We start from the raw sequence: 25750 nt of genomic DNA, 5'->3' as shown, positions 1-25750 counted from the left end.
TTCTTAATTTTTAAAGCATTTTTGAGACTGAGTGTAATTAAAAAGCTATGAATTCCTTGGAATGTTTCTGGTTAAGTCTTGTTTTGAAAGTATGAACTATGTGATTTTACAGGAACCAGGCCCTACAAGTGTAACGACTGCAACATGGCATTTGTCACCAGTGGAGAACTCGTCCGACACAGGCGCTATAAACATACTCATGAGAAACCCTTTAAATGTTCCATGTGCAAGTATGCCAGTGTGGAGGTAAAGCCATTCTTGGACTTGAAGCTTCATGGCATCTTAGTAGAGGCTGCTGTACAAGTTACTCCAAGTGTAACTAACAGTAGAATCTGTTACAAACAGGCTTTTTATTATTCATATAAAATTTATGCAGGAAATAATATGCATTCTCTTTTATGAAGTTAAAATAGAAAATTGGATTTCTTTGTTTCTTTGATTACTAATTAGTGAAAATAATATGTAAAGGTTTACAAATTACAAATAAACCATCTGTGGTCAAGAAATAAGTCCCAGATTTGTTTAAAAGTTCTGCATTTTATCTAGTACTCTGGGCCACAAAATCAAAATGTATTTGCTCTAACGTAGAATGCAGATCCAATCTCAATGTTGGCTGAAATTTTTGAGCTTGATTAGATACAAAGCAGCTTGCTCGAAGATTTAAGCGTAGACGTTTCTGTTTTTAATTACAGAGAGACCACCCTTTTCAAACTTCAGGTGTGCCATAGTCATTTTAATTAATTTGCTTTATTTGTACCTTCTAACAGGTTTGGCGGTACTCACGTGAAACAGGCAGAGCACTGCTTTTACTAGTCAGTACCAGTTTCCACCAGTTAATTGTCAGGGTCTCACTGTGTGCTGGGAAACAGGCTGAGGCCCGGTTTTGAGCCTGGTCGGGACTGGGTCAACAGTACACCCAAATGGAACTAAGTTAAAGGGAACAGCTGATGATTAAATATAGTAACAGTGCAGCCGGGTTTCACAAATTGGGAAATTTCATGGTTAGGGTCAGAATTTGATTCCAAGAACTTTTTTCTGCTGTTACTATTTTTAAAAAAATTATTTCTCATCTGAGTTAAAGGTTGTGATTGTAGTATGAGAATGCAAAATGGAGGGATCAGGGAACAGAGTCACCTGGGGATCCTAAGCCTGGAGTGGACTTTTTGTTGGTGTCCTGCCGGTGCTTAGTACAAACTTCCTAGGTCCACGAGACCCTCCCCCAGTGCCAGTGGTCTGCACGCAGCCTGTGGGGGGTAGCCTCAGCACAGGGGTCTCTATTGCTGCCATAGCCCCCCATTTTTGCAGTCTCCTCAAGTCTTGCCATGCTTGTTTGTTCCCTCATCCCATCCCGTGACAAAAATGGCAGCAGGAACGTATCAAAGCTGTGGTGCAGATGTGCCCCTTTTTTTAAAAAAGCTTTTGAATTGGCCGGGCGCGGTGGCTCACGCCTGCAATCCCAGCACTTTGGGAGGCCAAGGTGAGCGTATTGCTTGAGGTCAGGAGTTCAAAACCAGCCTGGCCAACATGGTGAAACCCTGTCTCTACTAAAAATACAAAAAATTAGCCAGGTGTGGTGGCACATGCCTGTAGTCCTAGCTACTCAGGAGGCTGAGGCAGGAAAATCACTTGAACTTGGGAAGCAGAGGTTCCAGTGAGCCGAAATCGCGCACTCCAGTCTGGACGAGAGTGAGACACCGTCTCCAAAAAAAAAAAAAAAAAAGCATTTGAACTCCCATTGTCCTCCCATCCCACCTTTAAGAGTCATCCAGAGTCTTTTTTAATGGCCTTCTTTGCTCATTCACACCACTTATCCTCCTCAAAACTTTCATGCTATACAGTTTTTAAAATTCTTTTTGTTTTGCTTTCTAATATACTTGAAGGCATTCACTTTTCTTCTGAAAACCTAAGTGAAATTTTTTGGCTTGGCTGTTGTTTTCCATTCTAAGCTTTCTTTTGTTCTCGAGTGTTCCTTAGGCTTCTGTGCGCTCATCACTTACTGGGGAGGCAGATGGAGTGTGGCATCCCTGGGTCACCAGCAGGACTGATGCAGCTTCCTGATGTCTGTAGTCCACGTGTAGCTGATGCCCCCATTTCCTGCTAGCAGTAGATAAGGGCCTGTGATACACGAATACAGAATAAGAATAGTTCTAGAAGGCAATCAACGAGTCAGGCAGTGAATGCTCAAATGGGAGGTATTATGTTGTTTGCTATTTAACTGATTGCCTGGGATACATAATTACTCAAATTAGAATTTAATTTCTTCTACTTAAAACTTAATTCTTCTTAGGAACCTGCTGTCACATGGCACCAATGCTGAATAGCCAGGGACACCTTCCTCCACTCACACTGTTACTGTGGGGCCAGCCAGGGTGGAGTCTGCAGGACTTGTGACCATGAGGCAAGACATACAGATGTTCCTCCATTAAAGAGCTAGGGTTTCGTTTTTATTTTTATTTTTATTTTTTTTGAGACATGGTCTGACTCTGTTACCCTGGTTGGAGTGCAGTGGTGTGATCTTGGCTCTTTGCGGCCTCAGCCTCCCAGGCTCAAACAGTCCTGCCACCTCAGCCTCTCGAGTAGCTGGGACCACAGGTGTGTGCCACCATACCTAGCTCATTTTTAATTTTTGGTGGAGACAGGGTTTTGCTATGTTGCCCAGGCTGGTCTCAAACTCCTCAGCTCAGGTGATCCACCCCTCTCAGCCTCCCAAAGTGCTGGGATTACAGGCGTGAGCCACCACACCCAACGAGAGCTAGAGTTTCAAGATTTTCACTTTATGCAAGGAAAAAAAAATGTTTGCCTTTGTGCTTTTACAGTGTAATCTAAATTTTGTAACTATTGAGCATATATTGCCTTAGAAATGAAAACAAAATCTTGTATGGCATTTGGCAGGTAGGCTTAAAGTGAAGGTGAACGCGAAAGTCTCTCAGAACTGCTGCTCATTTTCCCTAAAGGAGCTTATACACACACACATCAAATGAGATAAAATCACCCATAACAGATGATCAAAAGTGATGACTTTTTCATGTTTTTTCAGTGAGTGAAATATGCTCTGGTGCTCTGATGTTAAAATATGATTAATTTAAATCTCTTTTACAATGCTGATTAATGGAAGACTCTGCCATTTTTTAGTTTCTATTGCAACGAACATCATTTATGTATTTATTAGGCAAGTAAATTGAAGCGCCATGTCCGATCCCACACTGGGGAGCGCCCCTTTCAGTGTTGCCAGTGCAGCTATGCCAGCAGAGATACCTACAAGCTGAAACGCCACATGAGAACGCACTCAGGTAAGGGCTCTGGTGCTGAAGGCCTGATACCTACAGTGTTAACTCTTAAAGCAAGCTTTAAAAAATTACTTTTTATTGGCACAATTAAAGTTCAAAGGTAAAAGTGGATTTTTGCGTGCCTTCATGATAAAAGAATCTTGATCTGTACTTTTACCTTTATTTAGCAGTAAGAGAGTCTGCATAGATACTGTGCCACAACCCCACTGTGTGGAGTAAAACACAAAGTATTTGCTTCCGTAGATTTTTCAGGTATTTAAAACTCAACTCCTGGCCAGGCATGGTGGCTCAAACCTGTAATCCCAGCACTTTGGGAGGCTGAGGCAGGAGGATCCCTTGAGTCCAGGAGTTTGAGACCAGCCTGGTCAACATAGGGAGACCCTGTCTCTACGAGTAATTTAAAAATTAGCTGGGCCTGGTGGTGCACACCTGTGGTCCCAGCTACTTGGGAGGCTGAAGCAGGAGAATCACTTGAACCCAGGAGGTTGAGGCTGCAGTGAGCCGGGATTGCGCCACTACACTCCAGCCTGGGTGACAGAGTGAGAACCTGTCTCAAAAAAAAAGAAAAAGTAAATAAAAATAAATAAAAGTCAACTCCTTAATTCATTCTTCAACTTTAAGGCAAAACATAAAGTGTGCTGCTTTTGTAACAGAGGTACTTGATGTCTTGTGTTAAGAATACATTTATGTGTACTTCTTGGTTATTCGTACAGCCCCATGGATGTGAACCACCTTGAACTCTTGCGTAGCCACCAGATGCGGGGAAGTCATGTCTCTGGTCCATCATGGACACAGCTGTACTTGACATAAGCTGTCTGGGCTTGATTTGGGAGTCTCATACTAATTGGGGGTTGTCCGGTGAGAAGGGGGTTGATAAAGGAGGCTTGGGGCAAAAAAAAAAAACACTTTCAGCACAGGTGGCCTTTGGCAAGGATCAGGCCTGGAGGGGGAATCACTTTGTTGTCTGCATCTCAGGTGAGAAGCCTTACGAATGCCACATCTGCCACACCCGCTTCACCCAGAGCGGGACCATGAAAATACATATTCTGCAGAAACACGGCGAAAATGTCCCCAAATACCAGTGTCCCCATTGTGCCACCATCATTGCACGGAAAAGCGACCTACGTGAGTGGTTTAGCGATCTTTCTTTTACTACAGCATTTGCTGGCTCTTTGGAGCGTGGTCCTATAAACCTGCAAAGTACTGGCCCTGATACTGGGAGGCCCGGTCTTCGGGAACTTGGCCCTGGGACGAATTTTCTTCCAGAAGTCCTGTCGCACCATCTGGTGGCTGCATCTCATAAGTGCATTTTATAGCATGTTTTTAGAATCCGGGCCCAGGCCTGTTCCGTATGCACGTGATAAGACCTTTCACAGATGGGTATTACTTCATTCCACATTGGGCCTATTTTTCAGATGAGGACACTGGGGATCAGAGACATAGAGTAACCTGCCTGGGAGTCATACGAACCAAGGGTGCTAGGAGGTGGCTGGATTCTGGGTTCCTATTTATCAGTGCTCTATCTATGGCACCCAGCAAGCTTTTGTTAAACCCTGGCTGTGGGCCTAAGAAGTTTTGGAAGCAGAAGTTTCAAAAGACACAGTTTTCCCCTTAAGACAGTCACTTCGGGAAAGGAGGCGGGCCTGTAACGTGTAATCCGCATCTACCACGGTGAGCCTTTTAACTGTCACACCCCACAGAGTGGGAGAGGGAATCCAGAGGGTCTTGGAACAGCAGGCCTAGGAGCTGGGATTTGATACTGCCTGTGGGGAAGCCAGCCAGTGTTGAGCAATGGGAGGGAGGGTGTGGGAAGCGTGAGTGAACGAGCCTCTTCTTTGTTTCAGGATTCCTGGGCCTCCCTTTTCCATGATCTTATTTCTCTTTCCAAAATATATGACACTGTGATACACAAAAATATGTTAGCAGAACAAAAAATTTGACCCTTTTGCCCAAAGAGATTCTGGAGATGAGATGAATTTTTTTGAAAACCTTTCTGAAAGGCGAAAGGTGTTCCACAAAGTCTTCACTTTTATTTTTCATCTGGACCATTCTGTCATTGTTGCCGTAGATACCAGCACATCACAAAACACAGTCCAGTGGGGCTTGGTGGGGCACAAGTCTAGCCAGTTGCTAGACTTTTTTGACACCATGGCAAAGTAACATGGTTTATATCCATCTCATGCCAGTGGGTGATACACTCCACATAGCCCTATAAGATGCTTTATAAACACATTAATTCTTCCTTCCCATGACTGTATGAGAAATCAAGCTCTCTAAATGTCTGAGTCACTGTGGGTAAGGTGGAGTAGCTCCATCACACAGCTGTCCATTGTCATTTGGCTTCTTACACAAGTATCACAAGACCATCATGCTTTAGACTTAGATGAGCAAACCCAGCCAGACCTTACCATGTGTCTCAGGTTAATTTCAACATAGGAAATAACAGGGCACTGACTTCTAACAACGAGTGGATTATTTAAGGTAAAATAAAGATATTATATCTTTTTATATAAAACCACCTTAACATCATCCTAAAATTCACCTACCCCATAATAGTTCTCAAAGTGCTTTGTTCAATGAACATTTTAGGTCCAGTGTGACATACCTTATATAACATTTAACTCCATACCGAGAGTATTAAAATGATATTTCAGCATTCTGTTCGTTTAAAGCAGTGGTTCTCAGCTGAGAATGATTTTACCACCCAGAAGACAGGCGGTGATATCTAGAGGTATTTTGGCTTTCACAACCGGGGAGAAAGAGGTGCTGCTGGCATCTGGTAGACAGACACCAGGAATGCTGCTTAACATCCTACAATGCACAGGATAGCCCACCCTGCCCTGCCCAGGAAGGAACTAGCATGTTCCAGCGCCAAGGCTGAGAAACCCCGGTTTAGAGGAGAGGGGAAGCAGGCTAACAGAAAACAACACTCTTGAAGTATATAATGTTCTGTGACCATTTTAGGTGTGCATATGCGCAACTTGCATGCTTACAGCGCTGCAGAGCTGAAATGCCGCTACTGTTCTGCTGTCTTCCATGAACGCTATGCCCTCATTCAGCACCAGAAAACTCATAAGAATGAGAAGAGGTTCAAGTGCAAACACTGCAGTTATGCCTGCAAGCAGGTATTGTACTTTACTTAATTTGGAGAGGCAGTGGTGTATGGAAGAATGGAGGGCTGGGTGGGATTCTCTACCACCTTGAAGATACTGAGAAAAGTCATGCTTTTAATAGAGTAGCCTATTCAGAATAACCAGAAAGCAACTGTGAGCCAGTCATTCAAAACAACAGTTCTTAAAGTATGTTCACATATCCCCAGAGCTCCCTGTGACCAACTAGGGCCCCACAAGAGCCAAGCCTTTGTTATGATAATGGAAAGGTGTCATTTGCCCTTTTGAGACATTGACATTTGCACTTTTGGTGCCAAAGTAGTGGTGGTCCTTAGCCCGGATCAAGGCAGTGACACCCAGTGGAATTGGTGGTTGTGGTATTCTTCACCTTCACACACTGGCAGCAAAAATAAAGGGCAGTTTTACATGACAGTGTGCTTGAAGAGGCAGTTAAAGTTGTTAACTTTATTCAGTCTTTACCTGGAATACTTTCTTTTTAATAATCTTTGTGATGAGATGAGAAGCCGGCATACGCACCTCCACTGTCTTCCAAAGCTTGGAGGAAAAGCACCTGGGGGTTTGTTTGAATTTCCAGCTCAAGTAGCCACTTTCTCAGTGAATGTCATTTTCACTAAGAAAGGAACAAGATAAACAAATTCTGTTTACTCAGTCATTGGGCGTTGGTGGACATTTTTTTAAAAAATGAACAATGTAGGCCAAGTGCAGTGGCTCACACCTGCAATCCCAGCACTTTGGGAGGCCGAGGCATGTGGATCACTTGAGGTCAGGAGTTTGAGACCAGCCTGGCCAATATGGTGAAACCCCGTTTCTATTAAAAAATACAAAAATTAGTTGGGCGTGGTGGCACACGCCTGTAGTCCCAGCTACTCAGGAGGCTGAGGCAGGAGAATTGCTTGAACCTGGGAGGCAGAGGTTGCAGTGAGCCGAGATCGCGCCACTGCACTCCAGCCTGGGAAACAGAGCAAAACTCCATCTCAAAAAAAAAAAAAGGGGGGGGATTAGAGTGATTTTTTTAAAGCAACTTTTATATTGTGTGATGAAATATGTCAGCATTTAGAAGATCTGCATAACTCAAGTGAACTAGTATTTTCCAAATGACCAATCCATGATGTTACAGACTCACACACAGGTAAAAGATCCATTCAAAGTAAAAGATAGACCAAGAGGTTATAATGTCGCAGAGGAGCACAAGTTCTTTGGCACGGTTTCAGATTCCACATTGCAACCCATGGTAAGAAATTACCATGGCCAGACACACTGGCTCACACCTATAGTCCCAACACTTTGGGAGGCCGAGATGGACAGAACTGTTGAGCTCAGGAATTCAAGACCAACCTGGGCAACATAATGAGACCCTGTCTCTACAAAAAAATACAAAAATTAGCTGTGGGTGGTGGTGCATATCTGTCCCAGCTACTCAGGAGGCTAAGGTTGGAGGATCACTTAAGCCCAGGAGGTTGAGGCTGCAGTAGGCTGTGTTCATACCACTGCACTCCAGCACGGACAACTGAGTGAGACCCTAAAAAAAGAAATTACTACTAACTGAATTTTAGTGTAATAGCAGAGAAGAATGCCCACAGTTATTTGGAAGAGCTAGTAAAATGTTGCTCTCTTTTCAAACTACATGTCTGTGAGACCAAATTTTCTTTATCACTTAACATACTCCAGTGGACTGAGGGAAGAGCAGAGATAGGAATCCATCTGAATTCTTTTTTTATTTTTTTATTTTTTAGACGGAGTCTCACTCTGTTGCCCAGGCTAGAGTGCAGTGGCGCTATCACTGCAAACTCCACCTCCTGGGTTCACGCCATTCTCCTGCCTCAGCCTCCTGAGTAGCTGGGACTACAGGCGGCCCCCACCACGCCTGGCTTATTTTTTGTATTTTTAGTAGAGATGGGGTTTCACCATGTTAGCCAGGATGGTCTCGATCTCCTGACCTCGTGATCTGCCCGCCTCGGCCTCCCAAAGTGCTGGGATTATAGGCGTGAGCCACCGCGCCTGGCCCCGAATGCTTTTAATAGAGCTGTCAGACTTAGCAAATAAAAATACAGCACACTTAGTGACATTTGAACTTCAGACAACAACAAATAGTTTTATATACAAGTAGTTGCAGCCTGTATTTTAACTGGAAACCTTATCTATTAAGACAGACATTAGGTTATTTTTGTTTTGAAAAATAGATAATTTTACAGAAATAATATGTAGTTGGTTTGTTTTTATTTTTAAATGAGTTAATAAATTGTTTTATTTTAAAAAACACTTAAGAATTCCCCAGGTTTGCTTTCTAAGAAAGTAAATACTAATACATGCCACCTGTATACATAAAAGCTCTTCAGAGGCCACAGTAATTTTTTAAAGTATAAAAGGCCCTCAGAGTAGAAGTTTGAAAACCAAAACACTGCTTCAAAGTATTGCATGCTATTGGTTACCAAAGGTGAAAATCAGTGCTTACTGTGTGTTTTGAAGTGTGGGCTGTAAACTGTAAATGCTTTGAATAAGGGAAAAGGAGTTTTTCTGGTAGATTTTGAACAAAGAATATTCTGAGGCCTCAGGCTCATACTTATTCAAATGAACTAGGAGGGCTTCCTGAAAGATGGATAGGACTTGGAAAGGATGAGGGGCCCTGGAGCAGGCATACAGCAGGTATGTGGGAGTAGAGAGCAGCCAGGCAGGTCATGGCCGTGGGCAGAGGCTTGGAGCACTGCTGGGTGCTCCTGGCTGCCGCGGTCCTGGAGAGTCAGGCTCCCAGCAGGGAGCGCCAGAGATGCTGTCCCAAAGGAGGGTGATGAGGTGAAAGCTGTGCATGGAAGAGGGTGTTTAGTGAATTGGGTGAGAGAAAGATTAGAAGAAAGAGCATCAGTTAGGCCACTGACAGTAATGCAGAAATGGCCGAATATATATTTAATCCAAATAATCATCACATTTTAAATAAAACAAAATGTGTACTTTTGCTTGACTTCATACATATTTTTTTCCTGATTTCCCAAATTATTTTCTCCTGTCTAAGATAAAATCTCTATTTAGGCCAGGTACAGTGGCTCACACCTATAATCCCAGCACTTTGGGAGGCTAAGGCAGGAGAATTGCTTGAGGCTAGGAGTTTGAGACCAGCCTGGGCAACATAGTGAGACCCTGTCTCTACAAAAAATACAAACTGAGCCGAGCATAGTGGCATGCGTCCACAGTCCCAGCTACTCAGGAGGCTGAGGCAGGAGGATCACTTGGGCCCAGGAGTTTGAGATTGCAGTGAGCTATGATTGTGACAGAGCGAGACCCTGTCTCAAAAAAAAAAAAAAAAAAATCGGTATTAAGATCTGTTACGATACTATTGGGAAGTAAATGGAAAAATGTTGATACTTAAGGTACTTGCAACCCCAAAGGTCTGCTGAATTTAAACTCTGACATTTGATTTTTAAGTTTGCAGGTTCTATTTGCCCTTTGTAAATTCAGGTAATTGTAAATAGTTGTATAGAAGGAGGACTCCCAGTAATGAGAGGACAAAGGACCATCCTTTCACGCCCTGCGGTGTGTACTCCCACATCCCAACAGGACAGGAGAGCCAGCAAGGAATCCACTGCAAGACCTTTGTCACTTGCTGCTGCATACGAGTTTTGTTTCCTAGGCGGCCACTTACTGAGAGTGAATGCTGCCTTGTTCAGAATGTGTTTGCAGTAATTCTGCTTAATAGTGGACTCATCTTTGGGGAGGGAAATAAAAGGTATTGTATGATAAACAGTGTCTAATATCGAGAAAACCCTTTGAACTAGACAAGCTGCTTTCTTCCCCTTCCCTCTTAGGAACGTCATATGACCGCTCACATTCGTACCCACACTGGAGAGAAACCATTCACCTGCCTTTCTTGCAATAAATGTTTCCGACAGAAGCAACTTCTAAACGCTCACTTCAGGAAATACCACGATGCAAATTTCATCCCGACTGTTTACAAATGCTCCAAGTGTGGCAAAGGCTTTTCCCGCTGGGTAAGCTTACTTAAGTCACAGTAAATCCCCCATGGAAAGATCCCTCTATCTCAGGAGGACAGTGTCACACCAGGAGAGTTTAAACCCGATTATAGAAACCTGCCAGGACTTCAGGAGCATCTGTCATGCCTTAGGAAAGTGGTTATTAGTTTTTTAAAATCACAAAATTCTTGAAGAATCCTATGAAAGTGTGGTCTCCTCATCCCCTAAAAAAAAAAAAAAGGACAATCCAACACACAAAATCTTACAATAGGGAGTTATCAGACTCCCCAAAGAACCCCACCTTTTAGTGTAATATTTTCAAACAGTGAACTAGATTTAGGCTACTTGACAGAGAGAATGCAGTTTTCACACATTTTTTCAGATGTCCCTAGAATAATGTTATTGGTGTCTATAATCCCAGCTACTTGAGAGGCCAAGGTGGGAGGATTACTTGAGGCCAGGAGTTTGAGATCAGCCTGGGCAACACAGGGAGACCCCCATCCCTCCAAAAAAATTAGCTGGTTGTGGTGGTGCACCCCTGTAGGCCTAGCTGCTCAGGAGGCTGAGACAGGAGGACCACTTGAGCCCAGGAGTTGGAGGCTACAGTGAGTCACGATCGCACCACTGCACTCTGGCCTCAAAGACAGAGTGAGACCCTGTCTCTAAAATAACTTTTTTAATTAAAAAAAAAAGAATAGTGCTGTTGGTACTGGACTAAGCAATACATTTATGGTTTTATTCTTTTAGGTGTTGTATTAGTTATCTATTTCTGTATGACAGATTACCTCAAAATGGAGTGGCTTAAAACCACAAACATTTATCACCTGACAGATTCTCTGGGTTGGGAACTCGGAAGTGGCTGAACTGGGTGGTCCTGGCTCAGGGCCACTCCTGAGGCTGCAGTCAGGATGTCCGCCAGGGCTGCATCATCCGAAGGCTGGACTGGGGCCAGAGGATCCACTTCCAGGACAGCTCCGCCACACAACTGCTGGCACCGGCCTCAGTTCCTTGCTACAGGGACCTCTCTGCAGGGCTGCTTGAGTGTCCTCCTGACTCAGAGCAAGTGAGAGAGTGCAAGTAGGAAGCCATGGTGCCTTTTGCAGTCTAGTCCTAAAAGCGGCACAACAGCCAGCTGTGGGGGCTCACACCTGTAATCCCAGTACTTCGGGAGGCCAAGGCAGGTGGATAACTTGAGGCCAGGAGCTCAAGACCAGCCTGGCCAACATGGTGAAACCCTGTCTCTACTTTAAAAAAAAAAAAAGAAAATAGCTAGGCGTGGTAGTGCACGCTTGTAATCCCAGCTACTTGGGTGGTTGGGACGGGAGGATCACTTGAACCCAGGAGACAGAGGTTGCAGTGAGCTGAGATTGTGCCACTGGCCTCCAGCCTGGGCGACAGAGCAAGACTCTGTCTCAAAAAAAAAAAAAAAGTGGCACATTCTAGTCACAAGAAATGAACCATGAAGTCCCACCCACACTCGAGTGGGGAATGAAGTTTCTTTTGAAAGGAACAGCATCAAAGAATTTCAGGACATTTAAAAACCACTGCACATGGCTAGCTAGATCCTTGGACCATGTAGGCTTCAGCCTAACTTTATAAAAGTTTTATAAAAGTTGAATTTCCTGAAGTTGACTATTTTTTTAAAAATATTTCTTCTTAAAACAGTAGTGTAGTTGTGTTTTTCTGAGTAGCACAGTGGGATAGTTCTGGAATGTCAACCCTATTAGTTTAAAATTTCAAATAAAAGCTGTGGCAGTGCTCCCAAAACACCATTGCTCATGCAAAAATTGTGAAGAGTTAAAATTAACGAGTAGAATTCTAAAGAGAAAAAAACTGCTCTTTGGTGCAAGAAATAAAAATGTAGAGAAAAGAACAAGTCTGCCTCATGCAGTCCCTCAGAACATAAAATTTTTGAAATTCCGATTCAAGAAAGCATATTTGGACTTGTGTCTAAAATATAAAAAGAACTCTTATAACTCAGTAAATAGACAGATACCCAATGAAAAACAGGTAAAGTATCTAGGCCAGGCGCGGTGGTTCACACCTGTAATCCCAGCACTTTGGGAGGCAGAGGCAGGTGGATCACAAGGTCAGCAGTTCAAGACCAGCCTGGCCAAAATGATGAAACCCCATCTCTACTACAAATACAAAAATTAGCTGGGCATGGTGGCACATGCCTGTAATCCTAGCTGCTCAGGAGGCTGAGGCAGGAGAATTGCTTGAACCCAGGAGGTGGAGGTTGCAGTGAGCTGAGACTGTGCCACTACAGTCCAGCCTGGGCAACAGAGCGAGACTGTCTCAGGAAAAAAACAAAACAAAACAGTTAAAGTATCTAAATAGACCTTTCTCCAAAGAAGACATACAGGTGGCCAGTAAGCGTAGCGTCATTAATCACCAGGGCAACGCAAATCAGTTTCTGCCACGACTTCTTGAGTCTGCCCTTGTGTCATGGAAGCAGCTGTGGATGCAGTGTGTAAATGAATAGACATGGCTGTGTTCCAGTAAAACTTGCTTTCACAAACAGTTGGCAGCCAGATTTGACCCACTGGTTGTCGTTTGCCAACCCCAGTGTCTAAGCATAAAATGGAAGAAGTTTAAACAACCTGTTCCATCACCCCCATTATGTGTAAATTCTTCCTTCTTCCATCATAAACGCAGACAGTCCTGTTAAGCACAGTGGGAAAGTCAAAATGGGAATCAGGCGGGATGTTTCGCATAATTTGCAAATTTCAACACCTGTTGCCAGTTTTTTTACTTTTGCCTAGGACCTTTTCAAAAAGTGAAAATTTTCTGACTTAAGATTATCCTGAGTGTTTGTTAGATGAGACTATGTCACGAGTAGGCTTGACTAGGGGAAGTCTTTGGCTTTTATTCCTGAATGTTGTATACAGTTTCATAACTGCCACCCATGACCTCTGCTCAGTAGCTTCAAGAGAGTAGCTAACAGAAAAGTAAAATCTTTATGGTATGTAGTTGATGGTTATGAAATTGACTGATGTATTGAATTTTTGGTTCAACATCAGTCTTCACTTTAGAGAGTAGAAACATTCTAGAAAAATAAATTTTAAGGCCGGGCGCGGTGGCTCACGCCTGTAATCCCAGCATTTTGGGAGGCCGAGGCGGGCGGATCACGAGGTCAGGAGATCGAGACCATCCTGGCTAACATGGTGAAACCCCATCTCTACTGAAAAATACAAAAAATTAGCCGGGCGTGGTGGCACATGCCTGTAGTCCCAGCTACTCGGGAGGCTGAGGCAGGAGAATGGCATGAACCCGGGAGGCGGAGCTTGCAGTGAGCAGAGATCGTGCCACTGCACTCCAGCCTAGACGAAAGAGCAAGACTCCGTCTCAAAAAATAAATAAATAAATAAATAAATTTTGTCTTCTCATTGATTTCTATTATTAAAAAAAAATACTTAAAGCAAGCTAGCTTTTGGCTAGAGCTAAGCACAACAGAAAGGGTCACCTTTAAAAAGTCATCATTTTTGCACAAGATTATCAAAGGTGCATGCTACCCACAGTTTTCCCAAAGGCCATCTCTTTAACTGTGCATTTTTCAGTGCCTTTGGGGAAGCCGACTCTTGTTATAGAACCAAACTGGGGTCTGCTTGCCTGGTGCAGTAAGACCAGATATCCACACCACAGTTTGCAGCAGGAGTTTATTTGCAGGGTGCCAAGGAAGCAGAAGCTACAGACAAAATTATAAATCAGCGCATGGAGGATACCTTGCCCTAAAAGGGCAGGATATCTTGCAGCAAGGGCTTACAGGTTGTAGGTAGATTCAGAGACTGGTTTGCAATTGGTTAAGGAAGAGAAGTTTTGTTTAAAATTTTGAGAAAAGAGTATTAGCTCTGGTTCACGAGGCATGACCTCCTCTAGGCCTCTCAGGAGGAAATTAAGAACAAAATTAGAACAAATTTAGCAGTGGTCAGATTTCAGCCCCCAGGTCCTCCTTATCTTAGGTCTCCCTGCCGGTGGACCTGTTTGGTAAAGAGCCAGGTTTCTAAAAAACAACTCAGGGACGGATGTTAGGATGTTATCTTGGCCAGTGCGGTGGCTCACGCCTGTAATCTCAGCACTTTGGGAGGCCAAGGCAGGTGGATCACTTGAGGTCAGGAGTTTTGAGTCCAGCCTGGCCAGCATGGTGGAACACTGTCTCTACTAAAAATAACAAAAATTAGCTGGGTGTGGTGGCACTCGCCTGTAGTCCCACCTACTTGGGAGGCTAAGGCAGGAGAATCGCTTGAACCTGGGAAGTAGAGGTTGCAGTGAGCTGACACCATGCCACTGCACTCCAGCCTGGGTGACAGAGCGAGACTCCCATCTCAAAAAAAAAAAAGGAGACGGGGGGCGGGTGCAGTGGCTCATGCCTGTAATCCCAGCACTCTGGGAGGCCAAGGTGGGCAGATCACAATATCAGGAGATCGAGACCATCCTGGCTAACACGGTGAAACCCCGTCTCTACTAAAAATATAAAAAATCAGCCGGGCGTGGTGACGGGTGCCTGTAGTCCCAGCTACTTGGGAGGCTGAGGCAGGAGAATGACGTGAACCCAGGAGGCGGAGCTTGCAGTGAGCCGAGATGGCGCCACTGCACTCCAGCCTGGGCGAGTGCCCCAAACATCCTGAGTGTAGCTTCCTTGGCTATTGTTTTAGGTTTCTATCACCTTTTCTTTTCTTTCTTTTTTTTTTTTTTCTGTCACTCAGGCTGGAGTGCAGTGGTACAGTCAGCTCACTGCAGCCTCGACCTCCGGGGCTAAAGCGATCCTCCCACCTCAGCCTCCCTCCTGGGCCTCCTAAAGTACTGGGATTACATACGTGAGTCACAGTGCCTGGCCTCCTATTACCTTCTTGCTTATCAAGTTGCTTATTTACTTCTTAGGGCTAGCGAGGTGTGTGGAATTGCCCTCGAAAGAACTCAGGATTTTTCTTTCTTTCCATGCGTGGGGTCCCCACAGGCCCCTGAGAGGGGTCCCTGCCCCATCTCACTCGCCTTGTGTGTTCTGTGTCAATTCTCCGACAGATTAACCTGCACAGACATTCGGAGAAGTGTGGATCAGGGGAAGCAAAGTCGGCTGCTTCAGGAAAGGGAAGAAGAACAAGAAAGAGGAAGCAGACCATCCTGAAGGAAGCCACAAAGGGTCAGAAGGAAGCTGCGAAGGGATGGAAGGAAGCCGCGAACGGAGACGGTACTGATTTTACGCAGATTTGTTTTTACCGCCTCAGTGATTTTCTGGTTGTGACTATCCTGGGTGCCGAGTGTTACTGTCCAGGGGATGTGTCCAGAGCCCCTATTTGTCCACCAGTCGGTCCTGCAAGGTGGCTTGTGCCAGATCTCTCAGAATGGCAGTGAGCATAGCGTGAGAAAGTCAGTGTGAGAGCCCCACGCAGGTCCATGTGTGGCCCCCACCCCGAGGAGCCCTCTTCCATCGCATTGGACTGTCGCCTGCAGCTACAGGGACTGTCCTGGGCTGTTGCAATAGATGACCACAAGCTGAGTGGCTTGGGACAACAGAAATTGATTTTCAAATAGCTCTAGAGGCCAGAAATCCTCAATCCAGGTGTGGGCAGGGCCGCCCTCCCTCGGGGGACCTAGGGGAGGGTCCCTCCTAGCCTCTTGCAACTCTGGTGGCTCCACCATTCCTCAGTTTGTGGCCACATCCTCCAGTCTCTGCCTCTGTCTTTTCCTAGCTCTCTCCTCTCTTCTGTGTGTGGGCCTTCTCTTCTGCCTCTTACAAAGACATTTATCATTTAGGATTTAGAACTTCTTTTGAAAAAAGGAGGTCAGCTATGGGGCTTAGGATATGGACATATCCCTTTAGGGGTCACCATTCAGCCCCCACAGCCATCACAGTCTTCGTCCTCTGGCCTCTGGGAGCTGAAGTGAGTTCCCAGGTTGGCTGAAGCTGGGCCCTGTCCTGTGTGTCCTGTGAATGGCTCTGCTGTAAGAGGGGCCAACCTGACACCTGCACAGGTGAACACCTGCACTGTTCACCTTCTCCATTCCTTTCCTCTGAGAACCTTAGAACCGTAGATGACTGGAAACTGTCCAGACTTTTACGGCACAAGCAAATACCCCACGTTCTCATTCCAGACTCAGTCCCTGCATTGCGAATGTTCCCACAGATGACGGTCGCCCTCCACCTGCCTTTCCTCAAGAGTTACCAGATCAGATAGAGGATGCCCAGCTCAATCTGAATTTCAGATACACAGTGAATCATTGTTTAAATGTGTCCCATGCACTATTTGGGATATACTTATACTAAAAAAAATGTTCATCATGTATCTGAAACTCGGGTAGAAGCGGGCATCCTGCAGTCCTTCCCACTCCCTCTGTGTGGAGTCGGTTCTGGGTCCCTGGTTCCAGTCGCTCTGTCCACAGGCAGCACTCCCCCACTCTTTCTCTGCGTCTCACCATCTGGCAAAGCCCTAAGCCTGGGTGTGCCCCCGGCCTGCCTTTCCCATGCCTGCGTCACACAGCCAGGCCCTGCCTGGCAGGGAACTGGTGAGACTGAGGGGTCCCAGGCAGTGCCCCATCACTCAGCTCAGTTGGAACTCTCCAGAATTGTGCACACTGCCCATGCGCGGAGCACCCTCCTTTCTCCTCCAGGCATCGGCAATTACCACTGAGCTCATGCAAGTCCCTTCTTATCATGACCACAGGCCTCTGCAGGGGGCACTGTCATCCATCTGACAGGGAGAGAGCTCCATCACAGGGTGGGGACGAGCCTGCCCAGGTGCCCAGAGCCCTCATTCTGAACCTCAGCACCAATAACTTTTCCACTGATTTCCAGTGAGCACCTTCATCCCAAACTCCCAGCCCCTGCCTCCCTCCCTCTGGGTGGAGGCCTCACTGACTCTGCACCAGCAGATGGGCTCTGCTGCCCGCTGCCCCGGCATTCCTGTGTCATCCCACTCCCAGCTGGAGTTCCCGCCATCCTCCGCCAGCTCCTGGGGCTTCTCCATCCGGCCCCGCAGGGCACAGGGCTGTCCACAGTGCTCATAGGGGCAGATCAGAAGAAAAACCAGTGTCTCACTGATGGGTATCAAGCAATGAATGCAGCCTGCATTCCATTTGGATTCCTTTATACCAATGATGTTGTAAAATATCATTTTTCACATTTTTTAATGGAGGAAGGGGCTGGAGGAGCCACCCCTCCCATCTAAGGCCCCTTCTGACTCTGAGTCTGGAACCCACCCCCCAGATGAGCAGCTTTATGTCCCCCACCCACCCTCCTCAGCCAACTCACCCCTGCAGGCCTGCTCTTTCCTATCAGCCTTAAACATGCTCCGTATCTTCAGAAAAATAAAAGCACTTCGCGCGACCACCCACCTGGTCCTGCGCTGCCCCTCCTGCACACTTCACGCTTATTTGGTTCTTTAATAAGTGCCGGATTCCCACATGCAGGGCACCGCAGGCTCCTCCAAGGCGGGCCTGGCCCATCGGGTCCGTCCCCAGCTCCTGGCACTAGGCCTGGCCTCAGCATTGCTCGTTAAGTCACCACTTGTTGAATAAACGAGTGAATAGTAAGCACAGTCCTTTACTGGAGAAGACAGACCGGTGAAATTTGACCCACAGTTCATCAGCGCACATTGTAGAAACCCAAGGCCGGGCTACTGGCCACCTCGGCTCTGAGTTTAAGTCAGATCCTAAAGGGTCCCTGGAGAAACGTGACTTCCCCGCTGATTCCGCACCTAAAGGACACTTGTGCAGTTCTCCACACCTTGACACCTAAATGTAGTGGTTTTGTTTTGTTTTTGTTTGGTTTTGGTTTGGTTTTTGGTTTTTTGTTGTTGTTAATTATCTCTTAAACCTCCAGAAGACCAAATGATTTGGGGTGAATTTTGAACATGTCACCCTCAGTCGGTGACATTTTTGCTATGGAGAAGAGTTGAGAAGGTTCTTATAGGCTTAAAAACTGATGATAGGAATTGTACATATACAAACTTTTTTCATATTTTTGATGGTCAGCGGTCATATCCAAAGCAAGTGTGAATTAAGGCAAATAACCTGGCAAAAAATATGACTTAATCTGCATTTCAGGATCTTTGTAGCCTGTGTTATCCAGACAATTGTCTCACTTCTGTGTCTGCTCTGCCGGTACACCAGCACACAGCACCTCCAGTTCATTGACAGATCTCGATGGGTGACTATCTGATAGCACCAGTTTTTGTTTTTGTTTTTTTAAGACAGAGTTTCACTTTATACTCCAGGTGTGATCTCAGCTCACCGCAACCTCTGCCTCCTGGGTTCAAGTGATTCTCATGCCTCAGTCTCCGGAGCTGGGATTACAGATGCCCGCCACCACGCCTGGCTAATTGTTCTATTATTTTTAGTAGAGATGGGGTTTTACCATGTCTCTCACTCCTGACCTCAAGTGATCTGCCCGCCTCGGCCTCCCAAAGTGGTGGGATTACAGGCATGAGCCCCTGTGCCTGGCCTGATGGCACCAGTTTTGTGGATCTCAGTGTTTCTTTTCATATCCAAGAACTGGGTCTTCTTGTCTCCCTCCATCCACCAAAAAAAAAAAAAAAAAAATACTTCAAGGAAGCATGGACAAAAATATCCTCAGACAAGTTAGAACATGAGACAGTCACGTTCTTCAGTGTGGCGCTCTGTGGATGTTTGGGAAAGTAATTTGGAAAATGAGTAGAGCAGGGCTCCCCAACCCCCCAGCCGTGGACCTGTGGGCTGTTAGGAACTGGGCCTCCCAGCAGGAGGTGAGCAGTGGGTGAGGGAGTGAAGCTTTGTATTGACAGCCGCTCCCCATCGGGCGCATCACCGCCTGAGCTCCGCCTCCTGTCAGATCAGCGGCAGCGTTAGATTCTCATGAGTGTGAACCCTGTTGTGAACTCTGCACGTGCAAGGGATCTAGGCTGCACACTCCTTACGAGAATCTAATGCCCGACGATCTGTCACTGTCTCCCATCACCCCCAGATGGGACTGTCTAGATGCAGGAAAACAAGCCCAGGGCTCCCACTGATTCTACATTATGGTGAGCTGTATAATTATTTCATTATATATCACAATGTAATAATAAAAATAAAGTACATAAGAAATGTAATGTGCTTGAACCATCCCACAACCAACCCCCGCACCCCAACCAGTCCATGGAAAAATTGTCTTCCACAAGAGTGTTCCCTGGTACTGAAAAGGTTGGGGACAGTAGAGGGTTGAATATGGGTCGGCTCACAGTGGTCTGTTTTAAACCCACTAAGTTGTGCAGACTGGCTCCTGAGCTGCTGGAGGGGGAGCAGGTTATGGATACACGCCTGGCGCTGGCCCCAGCATCCCTAGCAGAACGCGCAACCCACAGAATCAGTACTCAGTATATGTCGATTGGCCAAAGGGACAAATGTCCTGCAGGCAACTGGCTTTCTTCATGTAGGCAGCATCATTACATGGGTACTGGGACAAGACTTAGGTGAGCAGCTCAGCCACAATATAAATCTCTGAGATCCGCCTCGATATAAATCTGTAAGATCCACATTCACCTATAGCAGCTGATGCCAGCTGGGAATGACTGTGTCCCCCCCCCACCCCCCCCCCGTCACCTTCAGGGGACACTGGCAATGTCTGGAGACATTTTTATGGTTTTTGCAGCTGGAGAGGAGGGTGCTACTGGCATCTAGTGGTAGAGGCCAGGGTCGCTGCTAACATCCTACAGTGCCCAGAACAGCGCCCTGCCCCCAGCAGACAGCTCTCTGGCCCCAAACGTCTGTAGCGCTGAGGCTAAGAAGCCCTGACTGAAGGCAGTAGTTGAGATCAGAATAGTACCATCTTATCAATTAGATTGTTTTCTAACATGCTTGCTGCCGTGTTCAAATTTAAGTGATGGTTTCCAAAATATATTTGCACAGTTTATAAATTCCAATTCCTTAGCTTTCTGATAAATTTGCTCATCCTGGACTTTTTCTCAAGAAGCTGCTGCTGAGGAGGCTTCCACCACGAAGGGAGAACAGTTCCCAGGAGAGATGTTTCCTGTCGCCTGCAGAGAAACCACAGCCAGAGTCAAAGAGGAAGTGGATGAAGGCGTGACCTGTGAAATGCTCCTCAACACGATGGATAAGTGAGAGGGATTCGGGTTGCGTGTTCACTGCCCCCAATTCCTAAAGCAAGTTAGAAGTTTTTAGCATTTAAGGTGTGAAATGCTCCTCAACACGATGGATAAGTGAGAGAGAGTCAGGTTGCATGTTCACTGCCCCTAATTCCTAAAGCAAGTTAGAAATTTTTAGCATTTTCTTTGAAACAATTAAGTTCATGACAATGGATGACACAAGTTTGAGGTAGTGTCTAGAATTGTTCTCCTGTTTGTAGCTGGATATTTCAAAGAAACATTGCAGGTATTTTATAAAAGTTTTAAACCTTGAATGAGAGGGTAACACCTCAAACCTATGGATTCATTCACTTGATATTGGCAAGGTGGCCCACAATGAGTGAGTAGTGATTTTTGGATATTTCAAAATAGTCTAGACCAGCTAGTGCTTCCACAGTCAAAGCTGGACATTTTTATGTTGCATTATATACACCCATGATATTTCTAATAATATATGGTTTTAAACATTAAAGACAAATGTTTTTATACAAATGAATTTTCTACAAAATTTAAAGCTACCATAATGCTTTTAATTAGTTCTAAATTCAACCAAAAAATGTTTTACTCTTATAAAAAGGAAAACTGAGTAGGAAATGAAATACTAGATTAGACTAGAAAATAAGGAATAAATCGATTTTACTTTGGTATAGGAGCAAGGTTCACCTTTAGATTTTTGTATTCTCTTTTAATTATGCTCCTTGGCAGGTATGAAATTGCCCTGGTTACATTCCATTATTGCTTATTAGTATTTCACTCCATAACCCTTTTTTCTGCTAAAACTACTCTTTTTATATTTGTAAAATAATTGGCAGAGTGAGAAGAAACATAAAATCAGATAAGGCAAATGTGTACCTGTAAGGAATTTGTACTTTTTCATAATGCCCAGTGATTAGTGAGTATTTCCCTTTTGCCAGTTGACAAGATTTTTCCACCCTCGAGCAGCGTGAGAGATGCCTCTTTAACACTTGAAATTCATTTCTATCTGGATACAGAGGCAGATTTTTCTTCATTGCTTAGTTGAGCAGTTTGTTTTGCTGCCAACCTGTCTCCACCCCTGTATTTCAAGATCATTGATAAGCCCTAAATTCAAATTCTTAAGATATGGACCTTTTATTGAAAATATCACAAGTTCAGAATCCCTATACAATGTGAATATGTGGAAATAATTTCCCAGCAGGAAGAGCATTATATTCTCTTTGTACCAGCAAATTAATTTAACTCAACTCACATGAGATTTAAATTCTGTGGGCTGTAGTATGCCATCATTGTGACTGAATTTGTGCAATGGTTTCTTAATTTTTTTACTGTTATTTAAAGATGTTTTACATAATTCAATAAAATGAAATGACTTAAAATTGCTATATTTGTTATATGTCAGCATTGGTCTTTAAAAACATCTTCTTTGTCTGGAGAGAATGTGGAGAAATTGGAACCGTTGTGCACTGTTGGTGGGAATGTTAAATGGTGCAGCCACTGGGGAAAGCAGTATGGCAGTTTCTCAAAAAAAAAAAAAAAAAAATGGAAATAGCATTAGTATCTGACCCACCAATCCCACTTCCAGATATACCGTATACCCAGAAGAACTAAAAGCAGAGTCTGAAAGAGGTATTTGCACACCTATGTTCATAGCAGCATTTTTCAAAATAGTCAAAGATGAAAACAACCCAAATTCCATGGACGGGTGAATGGGTAAACAAAATGTGGTATATACATGCAGTGGAATATTATGTAGCCTTCAAAAGGAGGGAGACCCTCACACATGCTACAACATGGGGGAACCTTGAGGACGTTATGCTGAGTGAAATCAGCTAGTCACAAAAGGACAAGTATTATATGATCTTACTTATAGGAGGTATCTAGAACAGTCAGAGTCATAGAGACAGACGGTAAAGTGATGTTTGCCAAGCACTGAGGGGTGAGGGAGAATGGAGAGTTAGTGTTTAGTGGACACAGTTTATTTGGGATGAAGAAAGAGTTCTGGAGATCAGTCATGGTGATGGCCACACAACAGTGTGAATCTACCTAATCATTCCACTGAACCATACATTTAAAAATAGCTAAAATGGTAAATTTTATGTTGTGTTAGTCCTTTCTCACATTGCTATAAAGAAATACCTGAAACTGGGTAATTTATAAAGAAAAGAGTTTTAATTGACTCATAGTTCCGCAGGCTGTACAGGAAGGATGATGTTGGTATCTGCCTGGCTTCTGGGGAGGCCTCAGGAAACTTACAATCAAGGCAGAAGGCGAAGAGGGAGTAGGCGCGTCACATGGTGAAAGCAGGAGCGAGAGAGGGGGAGGCGCCACACTCCTCTGAACGACCAGATTCCTTGAGAACCGCCACTGTCATGAGGACAGCACCAAGCGGATGGTGCTAAATCATTCCTAAGAAACCGCCCCCGTGATCCAGTCACCTCCTACCAGGCCCCACCTCCAACACTGGGGATTACAATTCAACATGAGCTTTGGCCAGGGACAAATATCCAAACTATATCATGTATTTTACTACAACCAAATGTATGTTAATTTCAAAAACAGATAACATAAATATGTTTGAAAACGCAAGCCAAGTTGGTATCTAAACACTGTTTTAAATAAATAAATAAAACTCCTAGGCCGGGTGCAGTGGCTCACTCCTGTAATCCCAGCACTATGGGAGGCCGAGGCAGGTGGATGACCTGAGGTCAGGAGTTTGAGGCCAGCTTGGCCAACATAGTGAAATCCCATCTCTGTTAAAAATATAAAATTTAGCCGGGCGTGATGGCAGGTGCCTGTAATCCCAGCTACTTGGGGGGCGGAGGCAGGAGAATCACTTGAACCCGGGAGGCGGAGGTTGCAGTGAGCCGAGATTGCGCCACTGCACTCCAGCCTGGGCAATAGAGTGGGACTCCGTCTCAAGACGAAAGCTCCTATAAGCACACTTTTATAAATAGTTGCAGTGTTTCGTGTGTGCAACACCTGTTGAGATGTAGAACAAAATTCAGATGAGATGATCAATACCTACTCAGTTACGTGCGTGACTCTCACCCACACCTGGCAAGAAGGTGAAACACCTGGTCCTCAAGTGCAGTTAGTGCTTTTGATACCAAAATAGATGCAGTGACAATAGTGCCCGCAAGAGGGCAGTCGCTTCTGTCTTTTCCGATATTGAGACAGGTTCACTATTCGAGAGTAGGAAGCACGGAAAGTTATAGCAAAGTCTTGGCGATTTTATTAATTCCGCGATACAGAACGAGAACATTTTTTCCTTGGCAAGGAAGAGAAGGGACCTTTGCAAAACCTGGGAGTGAGGACACCAGTTGGCTCTGAGTTCGTGAATGCTTGGTGAGTGACATGCTTTTGCTTAAAATAGTTTTGAGATCCAGCAGGAAATAATTCCGGAATGTACACCTCTTGCACAGTGTAACATCTCTGTTTTGCAGGGAGGGGGTGTTTAAATTACAACATTGTTTGACAACAGTTTTACTATATAAAGGATGGCTTTTAAACAAACCTAAGACCTGGCTGATGCATGTTAACAGCCTCTATTGTTTGAGATCAGTCACTGAAAAGGCTGGATGGGCGTGATGAAACTGAAGTCATTTTATATGATAAAGTTTGACAGCCTACCTTTTGAAAATGGCAAGATATTTTCCAGATATTATTTCCAGTATAAATGTTTAATTTTTTTTCTGATAACCATTGAATAGTCCCTGTAAATGCATTCTTTATGACTATTAGTCACTAAAGGGCATTGTTAGTTCTGCTTAAATATGTTCCATTCAAGCCTCGGGACATTTGGCTTATCAAATCGACTTTCCGCATCTCCTCATGCTTTCACTGCAGTTTATTTTTAATTGACAGTATCGGATAAACACAGATTTTAAGTTTAAGGAGTGAAATGCTCCTCAACACGATGGATAAGTGAGAGAGAGTCAGGTTGCATGTTCACTGCCCCCAATTCCTAAAGCAGCCTAGTTTATGCTATTTTTAGTAACTTTTGAACCATTTCCAAGGCATGGGTGTGATTATGAACCTGGTTCCTTTAAATCATTATCTTTTAAAGTATGCATAATTTAGCATTTTAAGATGCATATGTTTATTTTTCTGTGCATGGCAGATAGATTACTGTATGGGATGCTCACTGCGCTTTGTCAGGACAAAAAGTGCCATCAACAAACTTAATTAGGCTGGGTCTGGTGGCTCATGCCTGTAATCCCAGCACTTTGGAAGACCAAGGTGGGCAGGGTTGCTTGAGTCCAGGAGTTAAAGACCAGTCTGGGCAACATGGTGAAACCATGTCTTTACAAAAAAAAAAAATATATATATATATATATACACACACACACACACACACACACACACACACACACACACACACACACAAATTAGCCAGATGTGGTGGTATGCACCTATAGTCCTAGCTACTCAGGGGGCTGAGGTGGGAGGATCACCTGAGCCAGGGAGGTTGAGGCTACAGTGAGCCTTAATGACCTCACTGCACTTCAGCCTGGGCAGCGGAATGAGACCCTGTCTCAAAAAAATAAAAAATCTTAATGGAGACCAGGCACCCAGCACTTTGGGAGCAGAGGCAGGAGGATAGCTTGAGCCCAGGAGCTCAAGACCAACATGGGCAACATAGGGACACCCCATTGCTACAGAAAATAAAAATTTAAAAAATCAGCTGGGTGCAGTGACAAGTGACTGTGGTCCTAGCTACTCAGGAGGCTGAGAGGAGCTATTAGCAGCCTTTCTATATGAACTCTGCAGCCAGCTTTCATCCACTGTGGCACAATTAAAGAGTTTTTTTGTTTGAGATAGGGTCTTGCTGTGTCACTCAGGCGGGAGCGCAGTGGTGCAAGCAGCCTCAGGCACTGCAGACTTAACCTCCTGCTTTCACAGATGTTCAAAAAACCGGAGATTCTCTCAGTAGCCAGGCCCTTAGCATTTTATTCTGGGTGGTTCAACCCAAAAGAGCAATTCAGCATCTCTCTGCTGGCCTGTCACCCAGTCTTTGTTCCAGAGCCTCTGGAAGTGACACATGACCCATGCTGTGGAATTTGCCAGGCCTCCTCCACGGAGTGACCAGCACAATTGCATGCCCAGGTGACATGGGAGGGGAGCCAACGAGACCCCAGGTTTGCAGTGGCCAGGCAAGGCCCGGGGGACGGGAGGGAGGCAGCAAGAAGACTTGGGGCCTGACTACACGGTTTCCTCTTCCACCTGGAGGCAGACGCGGTCACGTGGAGTGTGGGCAGGATTCATCAACTCATCTGTCTGACTCTGAGAGTTTG

The 25750-nt window shown here is 45.0% G+C and overlaps 1 protein-coding gene across 23 annotated transcripts in view, besides 4 other annotated features; it reads left to right on the top strand.

Annotated features, from left to right (window-relative positions):
* CTCFL (CCCTC-binding factor like) overlaps window positions 1–23039 on the top strand; it is a 29688-nt gene extending 6649 nt beyond the window's left edge. For 4 of the 23 annotated variants that reach the window (NM_001269040.2, NM_080618.4, NM_001386993.1 and 1 more), the window contains 7 exons: window positions 113–246; window positions 3170–3290; window positions 4263–4412; window positions 6252–6412; window positions 10216–10398; window positions 15403–15568; window positions 20303–21838. In NM_001269040.2, coding sequence (NP_001255969.1) covers window positions 113–246; window positions 3170–3290; window positions 4263–4412; window positions 6252–6412; window positions 10216–10398; window positions 15403–15568; window positions 20303–20454 — 1067 coding nt within the window. In that variant the 3' untranslated portion in view covers window positions 20455–21838. Of the gene's footprint in view, window positions 1–112; window positions 507–3169; window positions 3291–4262; window positions 4413–5131; window positions 5769–6251; window positions 6413–10215; window positions 10399–11127; window positions 11999–15402; window positions 15569–18593; window positions 19446–20302; window positions 21839–22639 lie in introns of those variants that run through there. The other 19 variants (NM_001269042.2, NM_001386994.1, NM_001386995.1 and 16 more) reach the window with 12 other exon arrangements.
* Window positions 15698–15787: an enhancer, noted in NCBI's record as "active region_18164". NCBI's record gives its function as "activates an Ori minimal core promoter by ATAC-STARR-seq in GM12878 lymphoblastoid cells {active_cell/tissue: GM12878}" and the evidence as "EXISTENCE:reporter gene assay evidence [ECO:0000049][PMID:35858748]".
* Window positions 18904–19104: a silencer, noted in NCBI's record as "peak4285 fragment used in MPRA reporter construct". NCBI's record gives its function as "represses an SCP1 promoter by STARR-seq MPRAs in K562 erythroleukemia cells {active_cell/tissue: K562}" and the evidence as "EXISTENCE:reporter gene assay evidence [ECO:0000049][PMID:32103011]".
* Window positions 19086–19645: an enhancer, noted in NCBI's record as "H3K4me1 hESC enhancer chr20:56074415-56074974 (GRCh37/hg19 assembly coordinates)". NCBI's record gives its function as "activates a minimal SCP1, AML or CMV promoter by ChIP-STARR-seq in primed H9 embryonic stem cells {active_cell/tissue: H9 hESC(primed)}" and the evidence as "EXISTENCE:reporter gene assay evidence [ECO:0000049][PMID:30033119]".
* Window positions 20094–20143: an enhancer, noted in NCBI's record as "active region_18163". NCBI's record gives its function as "activates an Ori minimal core promoter by ATAC-STARR-seq in GM12878 lymphoblastoid cells {active_cell/tissue: GM12878}" and the evidence as "EXISTENCE:reporter gene assay evidence [ECO:0000049][PMID:35858748]".
* Window positions 23040–25750: the final 2711 nt, after the last annotated feature.

The sequence above is a fragment of the Homo sapiens genome, chromosome 20 (genome assembly GCF_000001405.40).
Source record: "Homo sapiens chromosome 20, GRCh38.p14 Primary Assembly".
Lineage (NCBI taxonomy): Eukaryota > Metazoa > Chordata > Mammalia > Primates > Hominidae > Homo > Homo sapiens.
Note: the sequence above shows the minus strand (reverse complement) of the source record. Positions and strands in the feature narration are given on the sequence as shown.